Below are 21,898 nucleotides of genomic sequence, written 5' to 3' on the forward strand. Positions count from 1 at the left end.
ATAGAGACAGGGTTTCACCATGTTGGCCAGGCTGGTGAACTCCTGACCTCGTGATCCATCTGCCTCAGCCTCCCAAAGTGCTGGGATTACAGGCATGAGCCACCACACACAGCCTGAAGGTACCTATTAATTGGTAAGTTAAATGGAGTCTTTAGATTGCTTTAAACAATTGTTCTTTAAAATACTCATAAGAGGAGACTAGCTTCAGATTTTAGTGATGGCACACTATTGGTGGGAATGTAAATTAGTAGAGTCATTACGGAAAACAGTATGGCATTTCCTCAAAAACCTAAAATTAGAACTGTCATAGGATCCAACAACCCCACTGTTCAGTATATATCCAAAAGAAATGAAATCAGCATATTGAAGAAACATCTGCACTCCCATGTTTATGGCGCGCTATTCACAATAGCCAAGATATGGAATCAACCTAAGTGTCTATGAACAGATGAATGGATCTTTAAAATGTGGTATATATACCAAATGGAATAGCATTCAGCCATAAAAAAGAATGAAATCTTGTCATTTACAGCAATATGAATGAGACTGTAGGACATTATGTTAAGTGAAATAAGCCAGACACAAAAAGGCAAATATCGCATGTTCTCACTCATATGTGGGAGCTAAAAAAAATTGATCTCATGGAAGTAGAGAATAGAATGATGTTTAGCAGATTGGGCAGGGTAGTGAGAAGGAGGAATAAAAAGGAGTTGATTAATGTGCAAAAATACAGTTAGAATGAATAAGTATTAGTGTTTGATAGCATAACAGAGTGATTATAGTTAAGAATAATTTATTGTATATTTCAAAATAATGAGAAGATTTGGAATGTTTCCAGCACAAATGACAAATGTTTGAGGCAGTGGATACCCCAATTTGATTTATTACAAATCATTACACATTGTACCCTTGTATCAAAATATCGGTTGTATCCTGTAAATACGTACAACACTCTCTCTCTCTCTCTCTCTCTCTCTCTCTCTCTCTCTCTATATATATATATATATATATATGGAAACATATATATAAAACATATGGAAATATATATATATATATTTCAGCACGTTTAGTAAGATTTAGATATCATCAGCACCACCACCAGCACCATCATCATCACATCATTATTATCTATAAGAAACAGTGGAGCAGAAAATTAAATATGTATATACATTTCATATATATATTTCATATCTATCTATATATATATATATAGAAACATTTCAGTGATAGTAAAATATGAGGCTGTTTTGGCTGAGTCCTCTATGAATGAGACCAGCACTATGGAATTCTGCAACCACATTTTATGTACTTTGTTTGCAAACTCTCTAATCCAGTCACACTTCATAGCCTTCAATTAGTTTCAACATGGCCAGTCATTAAATTTTCGGAACACATCTGGGAGAAAGGAAAAAACACAACTATATCCTGAAGGGATCCCTACCTGTAATATCCTCCCTAGGCTGAAAATTGCATAATAACACCAACTTAATATTCATGGGACTTTGTTGCAAAGTGATAACCAAATTTGCATGTTTGTGTGTGTGTGCATAGATATATTAGGATTCAAAAGTATGATTAAATAGAAGCACAATAAGGAAAACTAAGATATGAAAAATATACATACACATAAACTGTGCAGAATATATTCATGTTTATATGTTTTCTTATTCTATTTCAAACTTTCTTCAATTATAGGAATATACAAAAATAGCTAGACTCAAGATTTTACTCTTTTTCAGTATTAATTATAACCTCCAGGTATATATTTTTATTTAATGTATAAATTTTTATTATCAAGTGATAAAAGAACTAAAGAGAGTTCAAAATTTTAATATAGTATCTCTGTTTTTTTGGAGTTAACATTTCATTGAAATACAGTATTTACAAGATGCCACAAATCACAATTATACAACTCAAAGATTTTTAATAAAGTGAACATAACCATATAAAGAGCTCCTGAGATAAGAGATGGAATCTCACGAGTCCCTCCCATGTCCCATGCTGCTCACATGTCTCACACCCCAAAGGTATTCCAGTTCCAGAGGGAGCTACTGTCCTGACTTCCAGCACTGTGCATCACTTTGTCTCTTTTTGAAGTTCATATACATTGAAGTACTAGCTTGTGCTCTTTTTGCCTGGCTTCTGTTTTTTAACATTATGATTGTGAGAGTTAACCGAGTTGTTGCTTGTAGTAATGATCTGTTTGTTCAATTTGCTGTTGCTTTTTTCTCTTTTTGCATTTCAACATATGAATGAGTACATCACAAATTACTTAGTCTGTTGGTACTAGACTTTGGTTGTTTCCGTTGTTTTGCAATTGTTAATGCCGTTATGAGTATTTTACATGCCTTTTTGTGTACATATACATGTACACCACATATCTATCTATGTATACATACATACATACATTCTTATTGGGTATATTCCAAGAGTGAAATTGTTGTGTCATATGATAGACATGTATTGAGTATGACACATTTCTTACAAATGTCTAGCATATGCACTTTTTTTTTTTTTTTTTTTTAGTGGAGAAAGCTGTTTTAGGAAGAAAAAAAATCCATGCGATTTTATAGAATTTTACTCATATAACTGTGGATTTGTGGTAAATTTCCTCATGGAAAACATAGCTTTTGCCATTGGCTTACCTATCACTGTCTCAGAAAGTAAATTGACTTAAAAAACTACATAGTAAATTAAGTATATATTTTCCTATGTGAAAGATTGATAAATGATTCTGACATATAATGCAGTGCCTGATACACAGTAAGCATTCACTAAAAGTATGTGCTTTGCCAAGGAAGATACACAGATGGCGAATAAGCATGTGAGATGAAGTACACCACCATATATCATCAGGGAATTTCACATTTAAACAACAATGAGACACCACTGCACACTTAGTAGAATGGCTGGAGTTCAAAACAGTGACAACATTAAATGCTGGCAAGAAGGTGCAGCAGCAGGAACTCTGATTCATTGCTGATAAGGATGAAAAATGGTGCAGCTACTTTGGAAGACATGTTGGCAGTTTCTTAGAAACTAAATATATTCATATCGTATATTCCAGCAGTCATGCTCTTTGGTGTTTACTCAAACGAATAGAAAACTTATGTTTATACAAAAACCTAAACATGAATGTTTGTGGCAGGTTTATTAGTAATTGCCAAAACTTGGAGACAACCAAGATGTCCTTCAATAGATGAATGAGTAAACAAACTGTGGTATTTTCATACAATGGAATATTATACAATGATTTCAGGAAATAAACTATCAGGCTACCTAAAGATATGGGTGAATCTTAAAAAGCATAATGCTAAAGAAAGAAGGCAATCTGAGAACGTACATACTGTATGGTTCTAATCATATTATGTTCTGGAAAAGACAAAACTGTGGTAATGGTAAAAGCATCAGTGTCTTCCAGAGGTTCAGTAGAAGTGAAGGAGGGACAAATAGGTGAAGAACAAGAAACATTTAGGGCAGTAAAACTATTCTGTCTGATACAGTAATGATGGATACATGTCATTAAAATTTGCTAAAATTGATAGAACTGCACAACACAAAGAGTGAACCCTAATGTAAACTATGGACTTGAGTTTATCATGAGGTATCACTATCAGTTCATCAATTGTGACCAGTGTACCATACCCAATACAAGATGTAACGGTAAGAAAAGCTGTACGTGGATTCGGAGAGGAAGTATGTGAGAACTCTCCGTACTTGCCAATCAATTTTTCTGTAAACTAAAGTTGCTATAAATAATAAAGTCTACTAATTTTTTAAAAACGTGTTCTTGACCACATTTTCCTCAACTCCTAATGTTGTCCATTCAGGTGGAGTATCAAAGTACTGAACTCAGAGCCAGGACAAAGTAGAAGTAACATTTTTGATTTTTGTATATAACATTGTATTGGTCAGCTATCCCAATAATCCACTTTTAATTGAAGAACACTCGAGTTATTTTAAATATATATATATATATATATATTTTAAAAGGCAGTAAATATTTGGAGGACATTATTATTAGGGAATTCAACAGATGAAATTATTATGATATTTGAATGAATAACAATTATCTTCTGGATCTTAATCTTTTTAAAAGCCCATTTATATGGAAAATGAATCATAATAAGATGTTAAGCCCCAGGGAATATAACAGTTACCTTCTCTACACTTTAGAGTGCTTTCTCACACTTTAGTGCTTTCCACCTTGAAAACTTGTCAGAAATGTTCCTCATATTTCAGAGACAGTACATTTAAAAAATTAAACTCCATACTCTTCCAAGGTATCAGAAAGGTACATCCTGTTTAAATAGTCTCCCTGATGTATGTTTTTAGACTCTAAGTATATATTTGAATAAAAATCAGAATTAACTAATTAATGAAAAGAGAAAACCTTTGAAATGAGTCTGATTTTTTAATGCATCTGGCTCTCTATTTTTTCCTGCTCCCATTCTGAAAGAACTAACTTCCCATCAGTCTATACGTCAAAAACATAGTGTCCCTTTCACCATGTAATCTCAAAAGTGAAGGTTCATTAGTAAAAATCAAATAGAGTAGGTTGATGAAAATGTGGATGGTAAGGTTTTAGAAACAGGAAGAAAAACATTTTTTAAGTAATTTTGCTCTAGTAAGGAGCTTAGAAGTGGGGCTACTGAAGAGGAATGCAATGTCTAAAGAGGACTGTTTTGAGGTCAGATACCTAAGTATGCTGCTGAGACTGATACAGCAGAGACGGAAAATTGGATGGGAGAAATAGGGGGAGTGGTGGCGAGAAGTCCTTGAGTAGGTGAGAGGGGAGTAGCAGCGTTGGCCTAAAATGTGAGCAGGAACAATTCATCCAGAATAAGAGAATTGCATAGCAACATTTGCAGGCAAGTGGTTAGAGAAAGTATCAGGAAATTTCATATGTTTTCTAATTGCATCTCTTTTTCTCAGAAAAAAAAAATGGGAAGAGGGGTTAGCAAATAAGTGATGCTGGTAGAACACTCAGAGCTGGAAATTTGCAAAGAAGGGAAAGGTTAGAAAGTCTGACATAAGCCTGGGACAATAAATTGAGTGACAAAATACAGCAAGAAATGTATCCCATTGTGCATGCTGTTAGATTGCAGAGTATAATCATAGCATTAAATACCTGTTTTTGAATTCTAAGAAATAATATTTTTAAGTCATTAATTCTGAGAAATTGCTTATACAAATGAACAATGGCCGGAGCATTCATAACAATAGGTCTCTGACCCATGGTTTCTGCAGCAACCAGCCAAGGAAGCCAAACTACCATTTCTGCAGAATGGTCAGGGCTTGGTCAATGACTACCAGCTTCCAACTCAGAACAAACCAGAGAAAGCCAAATATGCTCCTAGAACCTATCACATAAGATTCTCCACCTTAGTGAGCTTGCTTCCAGCATGCCCATTTCAGTAACCTCCAATTGTAGTGTACCTGAAGCCTTCTAATTTTTTCACTATCATACTTTCCCATTCCCCTGCCTGCCTTGTAGTCTCCAACAAATGCAAATAATGGTGCTATCCCCATGTTATAATAGGCTCTGAATAAATAATCTGTTCTCATTTGTGTGGCCTACATTTTTTCCACATTAACTTTGATATTGTGTAAATATTGCCTTTCAAAAAACTATATACAGTATGTGTATCACTTCAGTAGAAAAAAAGTTAAACTACTTGGTATCCTTTAACAACAAAACTGGTGAGCTTATTGATTGTTTCCATTTTTCAACTACGTAGATGAGAACATAGTGTAGTGACAAGAGGATGTGGTGCAGGGTTGCCCCCAAAATGGGGCTTAGCCCAGGAGAGTTCTAGGCTTCACTAAGGAAAGAATTCAAAAGTAGGCAGACAATGAAAGCAAGTTTATCAGAGCAATAGTATATAGCAAAATGGCTGCTCCATAGACAGAACAAGGCTAACCCATAGGCAGAGGAGCCTAGAGTAGCCATATAAACCAAAATGACTCTCCATAGGCAAAGCAGGACTACCACATGGGCAGAGCAGCTCAGCAAAGCAGCAATGGCAGTTCTGAGAAGCAGCAGGAGCTTACAGCAACAGCAGCAGTTCAGAGGAGGACCAGCAGCTGCAGCAGCCTCCCCCACTGTGAATTGCTGCCTGACTATATTTATACCTACTCTAAATTATATGCTAATTAAGGGGCAGGTCACTCAGAATTTTCTAGAAAAGGGGCGAGGGAGTTCCTAGAAGCATATAAGGTGACTCCTAGGTCATTGCTGTGGCATTTGTAGAACGTCATGGTGTCGGTGGGAGTATCTTTATGCTAATGAGCAGTGAGGGCAAGTAGAGATCAGTTTCATCACCACCTGCTGATATAAAGAGTCTTCTCTGCTACATTCTATTTTGATCAGCAGGGTTATTTTCGGTGCTTAGAAAAAGTGTTGATGGTCTTCTACCTCAGATGGGCTTTGGAACAGGCATATGTAGTCTCAAGTCTTTGTTTCTTCATAAATCAGTTGAATCACTTTGGTAAAGTTATTTAACCTCTAATGCTACAGGTTTCTGATAAGTAAAATGGGGTAATACCTGTTATCTCAGATGACTTTTTGAGAAGAATATACAAAGTATGCATAACTCATGGGGCTTAGCAGACTTATAAAATAAATTATTTTCCTCTTGCAATTCTCCTCCTTCCCCTTGACCCATTCAATTACATTGAAAATGTGTTTATGTAAAAATAGCCCCAAAATAACAAGAACTTTTAAAAAAGGTTTTGTTTTCCAGTCCCAGCAGTCTGAAAACCACTGTGTCACTGGAGCAAATCTAAAAAGTAAAAAGGATTGTCTGTGTTTCACTAAGCCACCATTATTTGATTTGTTTTGTTCATAAAAGTTTACATGCTAGGAGATTTCTTCAATGATTTCTTTTTAAGGGAGCAAAATTTCTTTCTTCAATCACCATGTTCAGGTCAAAGTACCTTGTCATCTTTACTTCTGATAGTTCCAATATCTGCACAGTGCTGGGCACGAGGCTGAAGCCATTGTGTTCTGGATTGAAATATGTACAGAGAGATGAATAATTATACTTCCTCAATCTCCATATAGAATCTCAGAGCAAATTTCCAAACTCCTTTGAGAAAGAGTTCTGTTTAATTCAATGAAACAAGACAATTACCAGTAGGTGTAATTCTAGGAACTGAATAACTGGCTGAGAAGAGATTTACATAAGTAATTATTAAGAACAAAGTTCGTATATTAGTTCATCTAACTCTTCAGTTGTTAAGATATAAAAGTTGCTCTCTAGAACTTGGAAAAACTCATTAATTTATATCTAGCTTTCACAATTAGGTTAGCTTTGTACTTACAGAAGCTATATTTTCAGCATCTAAAACTTTCGTTTCACAGATCCAATTATACTTAATTAGATTTGTGAAAAGAAAAAACAGTTCTCATTTGTGTTCAATATATAAACTAAATTTCTATTATTTTTACATATCTTTCTAAATTCTGTTAATCTTTGTGTTAACTTACATTGTTATAGTTATAAAATTGGTACCTTTTAAAATGATGCTGATACTGTTTATATAGTATCATTACTTATTTCCTACAAGTGGTATAGAATATAAAATGTTAGAAGCTTTTATTAACACTAAAAGATAAATTTTTAATGAAAAGAATTCATTCAAATTGTATTTACAAAATATATTTTAGTGGGTTTTTACAAAATAAAGTTATATGAACCATCAACTTTGGATATCAATTCATATCTTTTTTTAAATATTAAAATGAAAATTGAAATCAGATTTGTTTCTTTTTTAAAAAATTCTACTTTAAATTCTGGGGTACATGTGCAGAACGGGCAGGTTTGTTACATAGGTATACATGTGTCACAGTGCTTTGCTGCACCCAGCAACCCGTCAGCTACATTAGGTATTTCTCCTAATGCTATCCCTCCCCTAGCCCCCCAATCCCCAACAGGCCCCAGTGTGTGATGTTCCCCTCCCTGTGTCTATGTGTTCTCATTGTTCAACTCCCACTTATGAGTGAGAACATACGGTGTTTGGTTTTCTGTTCTGGTGTTAGTTTGCTGAGCATGATGGTTTCCAGCTTCATCCATGTCCCTACAAAGGACATGAACTCATCCTTTTTCACAGCTGCATAGTATTCCATGGTGTATACGTGCCATATTTTCTTTATCCAGTCTATCATTGATGGGGATTTGGGTGGGTTCCAAGTCTTTGCTATTGTGAATAGTGCCGCAATAAACATACGTGTGCATGTGTCTTTATAGTAGAATGATTTATAATCCTTTGGGTATATACCCAGTAATGGGATTGCTGGGTCAAATGGTATTTCTAGTTCTAGATCCTTGAGGAATCACCACACTGTCTTCCGCAATGGTTAAACTAGTTTACATTCCCACCAACAGTGTAAAAGCATTCCTGTGTAAAAGCACATCCTCTCCAGCATCTGTTGTTTCTTGACTTTTTAATGATTGCCATTCTAACTGGTGTGGTATGGTACCTCATTGTGGTTTTGATTTGCATTTCTCTAATGACCAGTGATGATGAGATTTTCTTCATGTTTGTTGGCCTCATAAATGTATTCTTTTGAGAAGTGTCTGTTCATACCCTTCACCCACTTTTTGATAAGGTTGTTTGTTTTTTTCTTGTAAATGTGTTTAAGTACTTTGTAGATTCTGGATATTAGCCCTTTGTCAGATGGAGAGATTGAAAAAAATTTCTCCCATTTTGTAGGTTGCCTGTTTACTCTGATGATAGCTTCCTTTGCTGTGCTCTTTAGTTTTCTTAGATCCCATTTGTCAATTTTGGCTTCTGTTGCCATTGCTTTTGGTATTTTAGTAATGAAGTCTTTGCCCATGCCTTTGTCCTGGATGGTATTGCCTAGGTTTTCTTTTAGGGTTTTTATGGCTTTAGGTCTTATGTTTAAGTATTTAATCCAACTTGAGTTAATTTTTGTATAATGTGTAAGGAAGGGGTCCAGTTTCAGCTTTCTGCATATGGCTAGCCAGTTTTCCCAATGCCATTTATTAAATAGGGAATCCTTTCCCCATTGGTTGTTTTTGTCAGGTTTGTCAAAGATCAGATGGTTGAATTCTTTTTAAAACAAATTGCTATCAGTATAGTATATCAAAAATAATCATTGGCATAGAAAAATACAGAAATATTTTTTAGAAAATTTGTAGTTAATTGGAGCTACCAATGATGCATATACAAAAAACCATAATATAATCTAGAATTATTAGATGAAGGAAGTAGCTGGCAACCACCTAAGGGATAGGAGGCCAACAATGGCATCAACTTCTGATAAGCTAAGTGTAAATACAGAGAAATGTGAAGCTTCTCCTTGTTCACAAACTAACAAACCCCTCACAATAATTTTCTTCATAGACTGTGAAGATAACTAGCATGAACTTGATAATTTTGATAAATTTTAGCTAATACAAAAAAAATCTGAGATAAAATTTTTATTGAAGTAGGAAAAGTTATTGATATAGCATAAAATGTCGTGATTCTATCTTTACGTAAGCTATGTGGAAAGCACCTTAGAATACTGTTTTGTTGTGTGTGTTTGTTTTCCTTTTCCTTCCGCAAAGGCTGGAGACTGTTCAATAATGGACAAGCACCAACAGTAGGATTTAACAAGACACTCTGAAAGATGATCAAACTTGTACTGCAAACTTCAACCTTCTTAAAACAATAAGACAACACATCTATCATATGTCTTGTTCTGAGGAATCAAAGCCTGTTGCTGTAAAGGTGCTGTGGCTTCCTCACCATAACCTTTATTTATATCCTCCTTAGAACACATTTTCTCATTGAATAATCATTACCATGCAATCATTAATATCTTATTTGAAAATAATACAGAGTCATTTCTGTTGCAGTGAAGCACTGATTGGAATATTCTGAAGCTGAGGATAAGTAATACAAGGTTCATTTGGTTAGAAAGATGTTCATTATTCTTTGCTACCATTGCCTTCTGGCTGCTTGAAGATCAGGGCCTTGATCCAGTGTTTGCTTTTGCCTCCTGCATTTAGGGAATACTCCTGTGTTGTAAAGTCAGAATCAAGTAAGACGATTCACTAATAGTTGCAGATTTTCAGTTATTTTTCCAATTCATTTGAAGCATCCATAAATGTTTTTAAAACAAATTTAACAAGGTATTTTTGTGAGGTTGAACACTCTGCCCTGAAACATGTTGAATGGAGATAAAGACTGAAAAAGACAGTGTGATTCACAGGCTGTGTTGGGAAAATAAAGGTCCATTGATAAGTTTTTAAGGCGATAAATTGAGATGATTAATTTTAACACTCCATTCAATTGTTACTTAATTGGGCAATTTCAAAAATTTTCTTTAAAACTCAGTAAACTGCAAAGAGTTGAATTCTGTAATGAGCCAAAATGATATTCATGAAAACTGTGCTATGTTATTTGTGCACGATCTGCATAATAACCAGTACCAGAGCCACTCAACTTCTCTCAACAGTCATGGCTTAATGAGATAGTTATCCACTCCTAACTCCAAATGTTTCCTTTTTTTTGGTCTTATTCAATATCAGTAAGCATCTGTCAGAAATGCTTACAATTATATAGAAGCACTGCCTTCAGTTTTTCTCACTAGTACCAAAGTGACTTTAGCTGAGCTTCTTCTTGTTAGCTAGGAATTTGATCTGCCTTCCAGCAGCATTTTTGGAGACTGTATTAGTTTCTAGGACTGCTATGATAAAGTACCAAAACCTGGGTGGCTAAAAACAACTGAAATTTATTCTTACAAGGTACTGGAGGCTAGAAGTCCAAAATCAAGGTAATGCTCTCTCTGAAGGACTAGTTTTAGGGGAGAATCTGTTCTATGCCTTTCTCTTAGTTTCTAGTCTTGCTGCAATTCTTGTCAGCCCTTGGCTTGTAGAGGCATCACTCCAATCTCTGTTGCTGTCAACACACAGCATTCTTCTTTGTCTCTTCACATCTTCTCTCTGTGTGTCTTTCTGTGTCTCGTCTTGTGACACCAGTCATATTGGGTTAGCAGCCCTACTCCAGTATGACCTAATTTTAACTAATTGCATCTGCAATGACCCTATGTCCAAATAGGTTCTCATTCTGATGTACTAGGAGTTAGGACTTCAACATGTCTTTTTTAGCAGAAGGCAGGCAAGGAGACACATTCAATGCGTAATGGAGAAGAAGTTTTATGATGGAAATAGTACATGAAGTTCTTAGCTGCTCATTAGGCATTTAGTTCATGGTTGTTTTATGTTTCATATTGCTATATTAATATGTGGTATATGTTTATTCTCTACTTCATTTTACAGAGGATTGAACACAGCTTGAACAAACACACAATATAAGCGTGATTAAAGAAAACTTAAACAGAACTAAAGAATGCATAATATAAGTAAAATTAAGACAAGCAGGGAAAGAAGACAGTTTAGGAAAGGAGAGTACATTCCTGAACACAGAATTGGACAATTAGAGATCATAGTTCGAATTATAGCTTTACTGTGTACTAGCTGTATGAACATGGGCAACTTCCCTTTCTCATCTATCCTGATAATAATCTTACCTTGTATTCAACATAAAGCTTTTCATTCAGGATAAAAAACAATGAGGTGATTTTGTTAAGTTGCTTTGCCCTGTGCCTGACAAAAGCTGTGTGCCCTAAAAGATAGCACTTACTAATGTATTAACTTTGAAAAAAATAAATATACCAATAATTTTACTGTAAGGGGTTTCAAATTTGCCTTTAAGCTCCCTAGAAGCCAAAGCAAAAAGAGTTATATGATTAAGTAAATAATCATCACATTCATGTAAGAGCAAAGCCACTGGTTCCTTAAAGGAAGCCAAACTTTGCATTTATAATTTCCCAGAGATATTTCTCATCTAAGACATTCTATTGAGAATTCTGAATTATTAGTGAAAATGGTCCTAAGAAATGCAGTGTTGAATATTTTTAGTGCATGTGTCTTATAATATTCTCTGAGGAAATTTAAAGTACATGAAAAATACAAATCCCTGAAGATGTAAGATAGTTTTACTTAGGGTACATTGTATTTGATAGAAAGAATATATAGTTTTTAATCTTCCACAAATGCCACTTTTGTGACTCAACTTTTTTTAATTGAGTCTACATAAAATTTGAGTTCGAGGTGAGATGAGAATTTGCATATTACTTATCATGTTGACCCAGTGGCAGTACTCTTTAATTTATGTCATTTATTTTGCTCAACTAATATTTAAGTGCCAACTATACATCAGCTTTACTGAGTGTCCAGGAATTGATAATAAATAAAAATGGATAAGAATTTCTGTCTTCATGTTGTTTACTTTCCAGTGTAAGGAGGCAGGGAACAAAGCCTGAAATCCTGTTTCTCCATCCCCCACCTATTCTTCTGTGTCTAGCAGTCCAGTCAGACTAGTCTGTCATTTCAAAGCTTCTTAAACATCTGATGATGACTTCTTCCCTTTCATTAAAAATCAAAATTGTTAATTTTGTTTTCCTCATGACCTGAGAGAAAGTAGAATGTAGAAAGTGGCTGTTTGGTTGCTATGAGGTGGAGTTTTTAAGGATATTGAGGAAGATAAGAAAATCATCTGTTACTCTCTCATACCCAGTTGAATTTTCACCATAACAGGCTAGGATGCTAATCCAAATTACTCCCGACTACATACATCTATGCAACTATAAAATGAGAAATACTATTTTAAAGAATTTTGAGACTGTGTGTATAAATATATTAGCAAAAGTTTTAAAGGTTTTAAATAAGTGGCAGCAACAATGTTGAACTTTACTTGAGCCTTGTATTCCCAGAAAACAACAATGGTTGAGAAATTTCTCTACCTTTTATTCTCTGAAATCTATCTTCCTTTTTTTATTCTGAGAAATTACCAGAAAGGGCCACTCTGCCCTTGCATATTCTAAGACCCACCTGTGTGTGCCCTTCCTCATGGCTCTCCTCTTTCATAAAACCCCAATTTTCTGCCTTGAAAAAAGGTTTTCCTCATTAGTAACAATTCTCCCTATTGCAATAGCCTGTATAAAATCATCTCTTTAATTATCTCATGCATTATGTGTTTGACAACAATTATTTTTTTACTTTCATAAAGTCAATGCATACTTTTGCTTATGTAATTTAATTATGACATAGAATTAAACACGTAATGAACCACTCCTTTAGGAATATTATTTCATAAAGACTTAAAGAATATGCTCTATTTTTCTTCTTTTATAATTATGTTGACTAAGAGCAATGAACATATCTTTTAAAAGTCTTACAGAAAATACACACAAATGAGAATAGATTAGTTCTCTGCAGTTTTTTTTTACATCTGCTTTATGAGAAACATGTTTTTGGTGGTGAGAGTTTATTTATTGTATATTTAACCAACTATTGTGAAAGTCCTTAAAGTTTCATAAAAATATGTGTAGTTTTTTTCAGATAAAACTTTTGACCTGGAGAGTTCTTTTAACCCATTAGAGCGGTTAATCTTCTTTACCTAAGCCTGTGTCTATGCATAAATATTTTGATAGACTCTATTTGGGTAAATTTAGGGAGCCAGAAAGTTGTAATCCTCTAAAGAAATAGTGACATTTGTTTTCCATTGAACAGAAGAGTTCTTTTTTTCCATGCATTTTTAAAGGATTCTGCCCAATTTTAATATTAGAATATTCTGAAAACTGGCATTTATAGATATGGATTTTTTATTCTGAGTCCAATTATCAGTTTTTGCAGGATCAAAAACGTGCATGCCAAAAGACCTCTGGGAATTTTTATGTAAGTATTCAGGTATAACTGGAAACATCCACATGCACTGGGTAGTTTAAAATTAGCCATTTCCTCACAAGTTCTTGCTGCTTCTTTCAGTTCCGGAGGCTGTCAGGATTTACAGGATACCTTATTTACTTAGAATAATTCAAATACCTTTTCTTTTTTGTCCAAAAAGCAGGGAGAGAGTACCTACGCAAATAGTTAAAGTGAACAAAATTATGAGAGATATATTTACCTACTTAAGAAAATGAAGAGTTTTAAAACTCTTTGGAAGCAACTGTTTTATGCCATACATTTGCAATGTAAACAATGGGGAGCTATATATATCCAGGCCAATGTTGTGATACATTTATCAAGGCCATTCTTAGCTATTCATTAAAGCAAAACAAGGGACATTCTGCCAGTCAATTGTCCAGTGCTGGCTGCCACCTTCTCTTCACTGGGAAAAACAAACAACAGTAAAAATCCCAGCATTTATTTGAGGACATTGTGTAGAGTAATAATATCATTGAGTACATGTTTTGAATTTGCTTTGGAACAAATTGATTTATTACTACAACAATTTAGCTTTGTGATTCCTATTACCCATTAACTGCTTTAAATAAGAAAACTTTTTTTCAAATAAGATAAACTTACCCAAAGCAGGAAAATCCAAAGGAAGATTATTTGATCCCAAATTTATATTTTTCTGACTCTAATTTTACTCATCTTCTTTGGCTATCAATGAGAAAATGGAAGAATTTCTTCCATTAGCTTGTCTTGTTCTTGAATTTCTTCCAGTTAGTCTTGTTCTACTGTCTTAGTTGGTACTATAGCAGTGGGTTGTTCAAATATAGTGCTTTCTGAAATGTGAAATACCGAAAATTAGTCTGGCAATGTGCTGCTTGGAAGGAACATATGCTGCACCGTCTGGCAACATGTGGCATAGTCACATAGGGCAGAAACACTGCATACTCTGTTTACTTGTTGGAGACCCACAGTGCACTTTCTTATACTGAAGGTTCTGATAAGTCTTGCAATAAGCATGTTTAATATTATTTTAAAGTGTTCAATGTTTATGATCAAATAAATTTATGTAATTCTAAACTAATATATTAAAGGGCTTCATATAACAAACTAGATATATTATCTAGCATGATGAACCTTATTATAAACATATGCAAGGCAGTGGGTAGCCTCTCAGTAGCCTCACAGCCAGGCTTCACAAAGGAATGTTTTGTTCCCCATGGTAAATAGTCATCCAAATGACCTTTTGGGTAGAAGAGCAATGCTAGGGTGATCCGTTCCTTCAGTATTTTCAGTAGTCATTATTATTCCTCTTCTCTAATGCCATTGTGGGAAGCCAGTATACCAGTTGTGGGAGCAATGGGAGCAGTAGAAGTAGTGAAATGATCACAGATTGAATCCTCTCCAAAGACACAGTTAATTGGATTTTTAATCATAAGCCAGTACAGGCAGCTCCAGTCCAAAACACCTCAGAGATTCCTGGCCAGTCTAGACAATTTTTTAAATCACAGGTCAACGTGTTTAATGCCATATGACTTACTCCTCTGCCCACAGTTGACTGGGCCAATGATTGGCAGTTGACTGGAAGTCACAGGTCTTATTTGTTATATGTTAAATTCTTATATTTACAAGGGTCACTTTATGAATCATCTATTCTTTAAAATTGGATTAGATGTCTTTCTGTGTTACTCAAATGAATTAAGAACCATCATGTGTATTTTAATTATTTGACACAACTTGTGAAATAGTTCGATGAGGCTAGTATTTGTACTATAATTAGTACTTAGCTAAAATTCAGTAAATCATTCTAGTTTGTTTGTTTGTTTGTTTTGAGATGGAGGAGTCTCTCTCTGTTGCCCAGGCTGGAGTGCAGTGGCACTATCTCCGCTCACTGCAAGCTCTGCCTCCAAGGTTCACACCATTCTCCTGCCTCAGCCTCCCGAGTAGCTGGGACTACAGGCGCATTCCACACACCCAGCTAATTTTTTGTATTTTTTAGTAGAGATGGGTTTTCACCATGTTAGCCAGGATGGTCTTGATCTCCTGACCTCGTGATCTGCCTGCCTCGGCCTCCCAAAGTGCTGGGATTACAGGTGTGAGCCACAGTGCCTGGCCGATCATTCCAGTTTTAGTGTCAGAGATTCAAAGCCTACATGATTTAACACTCAGTCTAAAGTTTTTTGTATCTGTCTCCCTCTTTCTTATTTACTGTACATTCAAGGTAGACTCAAGATTCACTCTGCACCAGTCCTCCATGATCCTTCTGTTTGGTCTTGCTTCATCAAGGAGAATTTTTGTGCAGTGCTACAGATGTCGTTGTATCATCCTTATTATTTTCTCCATCTCTCAAAAACAATTATATAAAAATCATTGTTATATCTGCTGAACTTAGCCTCATGTACATAAGCGGGGAATTGTTGTTAGGGGATTTATTGACCTCTATTTTAGTTTTGTTGTATAGTATATTCACTCGTTAAATTTACCCAGATCCTGTTTCTGCCTTAAAATTGTCTTTATGGTGATATTAACTGATGCAGATGCCCTATTAGGAATAGAAAATGCCAGTGTTTTCTTACTTACTCACAATGAAAAATGACCACTCAGCCAAGAAAAACTAGGTCTATGCAAATTTATGTTTTTGTCACATGTGAAATAACAGCATAAAGATAAATCCATTTGCTTGCTATACCTCTTTTTTCAAGGGGATTCTCCTTTGTCTTCCTCCGTATTATAAGCTTATGTTCTCATAACTGTTAATATAGATGCATTAAGAGGGGTGGTTATGGCTTGGCACAGTGGCTCACGCCTGTAATCCCAGCACTGTGGGAGGCCTAGGTGGGTGGATTACCTGAGGTCAGGAGTTTGAGACCATCCTGACCAACATGGTGAAACCTCGTCTCTACCGAAAATACAAAAATTAGCCAGACGTGATGGTGTGCACCTGTAATCCCAGCTACTCAGGAGGCTGAGGCAGGAAAATCGCTTGAACCAAGGAGGCTGAGGTTGCAGTGAGCTGAGATCATGCCATTGCATTCTAGCCTGGGCAACAGAGGAAGACTCCGTCTCAAAAAGAAGGGTGGTTACATAGAAAGTCTCAGAGGAGAACACACTCTTAGCATTTCAGGTAGTAGTTAACCCTCCCAAATTTTCTCATAAATAGCTGGTTTTTAATATGTGGTGAGGGAAGGTGAGACTCAGCACTATCACCAATGTTGTCTCATACTGTGATTCTTTCACAGATTGATAATGAAAGATGCCCAGTTCTCTTGATCCAGCCAATGTATTGCAAAGATAGTCTAGCACTTTGAATTTTCCAGTCCATCTTACTGTCAAATACCACTATGGACAGCATAAGAAGATACTGTGCAAAACGCTCAAAGGCCTAAAAAATATTCAATCTTAGATAAATAAATAGTTAAAAGGGTTATTCCTAGGAAAGAATGGCATAGCTCAACCTCTAAGGGATAACTGGTTGTAAAGATATATTTCTGTATCCACTTAAAATAGATTATTTTAGAAGAAGGCAAGAAGGAGTAAGGTTTTGTTAGTTTTACCCCTGAGCCGTAGAATGTATTAGTTCATGGCTGATGTGCAGCAAATTCTAACAAGATCTGTCAGCCCGTGGAGATGAGCCATTTGTGAGAATCCTCATTTATGTAGTACATATTTGTGTTTTCTGGGTATCACCTCTTTTTATTCCACTTTCATCTAGCCTAAACATCTAGTTTTTCTTAACAGATTTGATTCACTATTTGGCTTTCAGATACATTTATATCACCTACTCTCATATCCTACGTTATTATGTCGCAAAGAACAGACGCAAGAAAAGCTGTCTTTCCATGTTCACTCCTCTTTGACCTGTGGCATGGGCTCTAATTTCTCCCTAAAGATGTTCTGGATATTTTTTCCCTTGTCTTTTGCCTATTTGAAAGGGTAATCTAGAGGATCTATAGTAACCTTTTTTTTTTTTTTTCCCTCTCCTGTGCGCTTTTTCTGTTTCTCCTTTAGCTGACTTTATTACTACCAAACACCTCATTTTTCAGTCTGGCTCTATTTTCTTTTGATGTCATAAACTTCAGGATAAGGTGCTTTGCCAGATACTTGGTAAGCATTTTTATCTTTAAATTCTGCTGGCCTTTCTTTGATTGTTAAAGGGGTTCTTATGTTTTATTAGACTTTATTTTAACAGCAGTTTTAGGTTTATAGAAAAATTTGCACAGAAATCCCAGAGACTTTCCATATACCTCTCCTTCCTCACCTTCTATCCATTAACATCTTGCATTAGTATTGAATATTTGCTAAGAACTTGTCTTGATACAGTGTTATTAACTAAAGTTCATAGTTTACATTAGGATTTAATTTTTGCATTGCACAGTTCTATGGGTTTTGATAAATACATAATGTCATGTATCCACCATTGCAGTATCATACACGATGTTTTCACTGCCCTAAAATTGCCCTGTTCTCTGCCTGTTCATCCCTCCTCCCTCCCCCCTGAAAACCTGGCAGTCACTAACTTCTTTACTGTCTCTAGGTTTTCTTTTTTCAGAATGTCATATAGTAGAAATAAAAAAATATGTGTCTTTTCCAGATCAGCTTCTTTCAGTTAGCGATATGTGTTTATAGCTCCTTCATGTCTTTTTGTAGCTTGATAAGTTTCTTTTCTTTTCTTTTTTTTTTTTTTTTTTTTTTTTGAGATGGAGTCTTGCTCTGTCGCCCAAGCTGGAGTGCAGTGGCATGATCTCAGCTCAGCTCACTGCAACCAACCTCTGCCTCCCGGGTTCACGCCATTCTCCTGCCTCAGCCTCCCAAGTAGCTGGGACTGCAGGGGCCCACCACCACGCCCAGCTAATTTTTTGTATTTTTAGTAGAGATGGGCTTTCACCATGTTGGCTAGGCTGGTTTTGAACTCCTGACCTCAAATGATCTTCCCACCTCAGCCTCCCAAAGTGACGGGATTACAGGAGTGAGCCACCATGCCCGGCGGCAGCTTGATAAGTTTATTTTCTTATCACTGAATAATACACTTTTGGTGGGTGTACCATTATATATTATTTATTTGTGTACTTTTTTTCTGTTCCAGTTGGCCATTCCCATCTCTTAGATCCCCTAATGTGTGCTTTTAGACCTATTCTCCTAGTATGTTTCTTATCATAATCATCCTTTTTGTCTTTTCATCTGAACTTTAAGAGATGTCACAACTTCACTTATAACTGAAGTATTTTTTTCAATTTACCATTAATTTCCTCCATTGCAGATTTCATCAGGAATAATGCTTTCATTTCCACGAGTTATTTCAAGATCCCAATGATTTCATTCTCTCTAGATGTCTCCCTCCTACATCAAGTAACTGTCGACTCTCATCTTTATTGCTTGAACAGCTTCCTAACTTGTTTCCCTTTATATCCCCTTAATCTTTGTGAATCTATTATCCATACATAGATGTGCCAAAATGATATTCTAAATACAAATCTGATTTTGTCATGTTCTTGCTTACAGCGCTTCAGTTTTTTTCCCATTATTCTAATTTTGGATTTTTAAGATTGATATATTTGTACATATTTTAGGAGTACATGTCATATTTTGATACATGTGTATAATGTATAATGATCAAATGAGGATAATTGGAATATCCATCATCTCAAATATTTATCTTTTTTGGGGGGAATATTACAATTATTTTCTTCTGGCTATTTTGAAATATACAATAAATTATTGTTAACTATAATTTTCCTACTGAACTACTAGATACCAGAAGGAATTCCTTCTACCTAGCTGTGTTTGTGGACCCATTAAACAGCTTCTCATCATCTTTCCTATTTCTTTCCCCTTCCCAGCCCCTGGAAACCACCATTCCACTCTCTACCTCCATTAGAGTAACTTTTCTAGATCCCACATATGAATGAGAATATGCAATATTTGTTTTTCCATGCCTGGCTTATTTCAGTTGACAGAACAACCTCCAGTTCTATCCATGTTGCTGCAAATAACAAGATTTCATTCTTCTTTATGAGTGAATAATTTTCCATTGTGTATATATACCACATTTTATTTATCCATATATCTCTTTTTGGACACTTAGGTTGATTCTCTATCTTGGCTATTGTGAATGGTGCTACAATAAACATGAGAGTGCAGATATTTCTTTGACATGCTGGTGTTATATATATGTGTATATATATATTATATATATATCTGCTAGGTGTATATATTTTACACATATATATACACACTTACATATACATATACATATATATCTATACTTACATACACACACACACACACACACACACACACACTCACACACACACGCACACATTTAGCAGTAAGATTGCCAGATTGGATCATATGGTAGTTGTGTTTCTAGTTTTTTCAGGAACCTCCATACTGGTTTCCATAATGGTTGTACTGCTTTACATGCTCACCCACAGTATATGTGCATTCCCATTTCTTCACATCCTGACCAGCATTTGTTATTGTGCTTCTGATAACAGTTATTCTAACTGGGATGAGATCCTACCTTATTGTGGTTTTGATTTGTACTTCTCTGATTGTTAGTGATGTGGAGCATTTTTTCATATACCTTTTAGCAATTTGTATGTTGTTTTTTTTTGAAAAATGCCTTTTCAGGTATTTTCCCATTTTTAAATCAGATTTTTTTATACTGAGTTGAATTCGTTATATGTTCTTATTTATTCCTTGTTGAATGGATAGTTTGCAAATATTTTCTCCCATTCAACAGGCTTTATTCTTCACACTGTTGTTTTTTCATTTGTTTGTTTTTGCTATGCAGACACTTTTTAGCCAGATGTAAATCCCATTTGTCTATTTTTGTTTCTGTTGCCTGAGATTTTGAGGTCTTACCCATGAAATCTTTGCGCAGATTAATGCTCTGTAACATTTCTCCAGTTTCATAGTTTCAGGTCTTACATTTAAGTCTTTAATCTATTTTGAGTTGATTTATGTATATGGTGAATTATGAGAAGCTAATTTCATTCTTCTGCATATGAATATCCAGTTTCCCCAGCACCATTTATTAAGAGACCATCCTTTTTCCAGTGTGTATTCTTGACAACTTTGTCAAAATGAATTGGCTGTACATGTGTGAATTTCTAGGTCCTCTATTCTGTTCCATTAGTCTATTTTACATGTTCCTAGGATAAATTTCAAAATCCTCAGCATTCTTCCTGGTCCCTGGATGAGCTAGCCCTTGCTTCCCTCTCCAGCCTAATCATGTCTTTCCTCCTCACTCTCTTCTCCTGACCTCCTGGACTCTTTCTTCTTTGAACATACCATTAATTTTTCTTACTTGTAATGCTTCCCATTTGACTTTTCCTCTCTTTGCTTCATGCTTTCCCCAAGTCTTGGCCTGGCTAATTCCAAGTCATATTTTCCTTCTTGTCTTAAATGTCACTTGCTCAGGGAAGTCTTCCATGATTCCAAAAATTCTGTTGACAGCCTACTGTCATCTGTGCATCTGTTATAGAGGTGGTACAGTTCACCTCCAGAATGCTACAACCACTTGCAATTAATTCTAATTAATTTTGACTAGGGGAATAGCTTACCATTTAAATGCAGACATTGTTAAAGGCAGGAAGTGTGTTTTCATCATTTACAACAGTGTCTTCAGAGCTCAGCTCAGTGCCTCCAACAAAGCAGCTGAACAAAAGAGACTTTTGAAAGAGTGATTTTCCTCACCTCTTTCCCTTTTTGCACAGGGCTATTCTGGTTTCATAGATGCAATATCTCAAAATCTTGTTAAAATACAAATTAAACATTTGAAAATGTCTTTTTTATTCTTTGCAGTACTCTATTTCAGAGGATGTATTTGGTCTGATTTCTTGGAACATATTATCTTTTTAAAGATATGTGATTTTTTTCCCTATTTACTGGAAAGTATTAATCTCACTGATAAGGATGGATAAATTGGAATAGAAATAAGGTTCCTCTGGGATTGGTGAGGATATCTATCTGAAATTACGGTAAATCTATTATTTTCTTTTCAACTTTCATCTGAATTGGAAACATTCACTATGTAAATTCAGAGATATGGCAGCCTGAGTGTAAAGAGAAAATGAAAGCTAGAATCGGAAAGTTTGCCTCTGCAAGGAAGAGTTCCTGTTTCATGTTTTCCCAAACCATCA

The 21,898-nt window shown here is 35.3% G+C and overlaps 1 long non-coding RNA gene across 1 annotated transcript in view, besides 1 other annotated feature; it reads left to right on the top strand.

The window, feature by feature from the left end:
- The window catches only part of LINC02147 (long intergenic non-protein coding RNA 2147), a 535,702-nt gene that overhangs the window by 136,594 nt on the left and 377,210 nt on the right, over positions 1-21,898 (top strand). The gene's annotated exons all lie outside the window — the stretch shown is intronic.
- Positions 21,746-21,895: an enhancer, noted in NCBI's record as "active region_22955". NCBI's record gives its function as "activates an Ori minimal core promoter by ATAC-STARR-seq in GM12878 lymphoblastoid cells {active_cell/tissue: GM12878}" and the evidence as "EXISTENCE:reporter gene assay evidence [ECO:0000049][PMID:35858748]".

This window comes from Homo sapiens, chromosome 5, assembly GCF_000001405.40.
Source record: "Homo sapiens chromosome 5, GRCh38.p14 Primary Assembly".
NCBI lineage: Eukaryota > Metazoa > Chordata > Mammalia > Primates > Hominidae > Homo > Homo sapiens.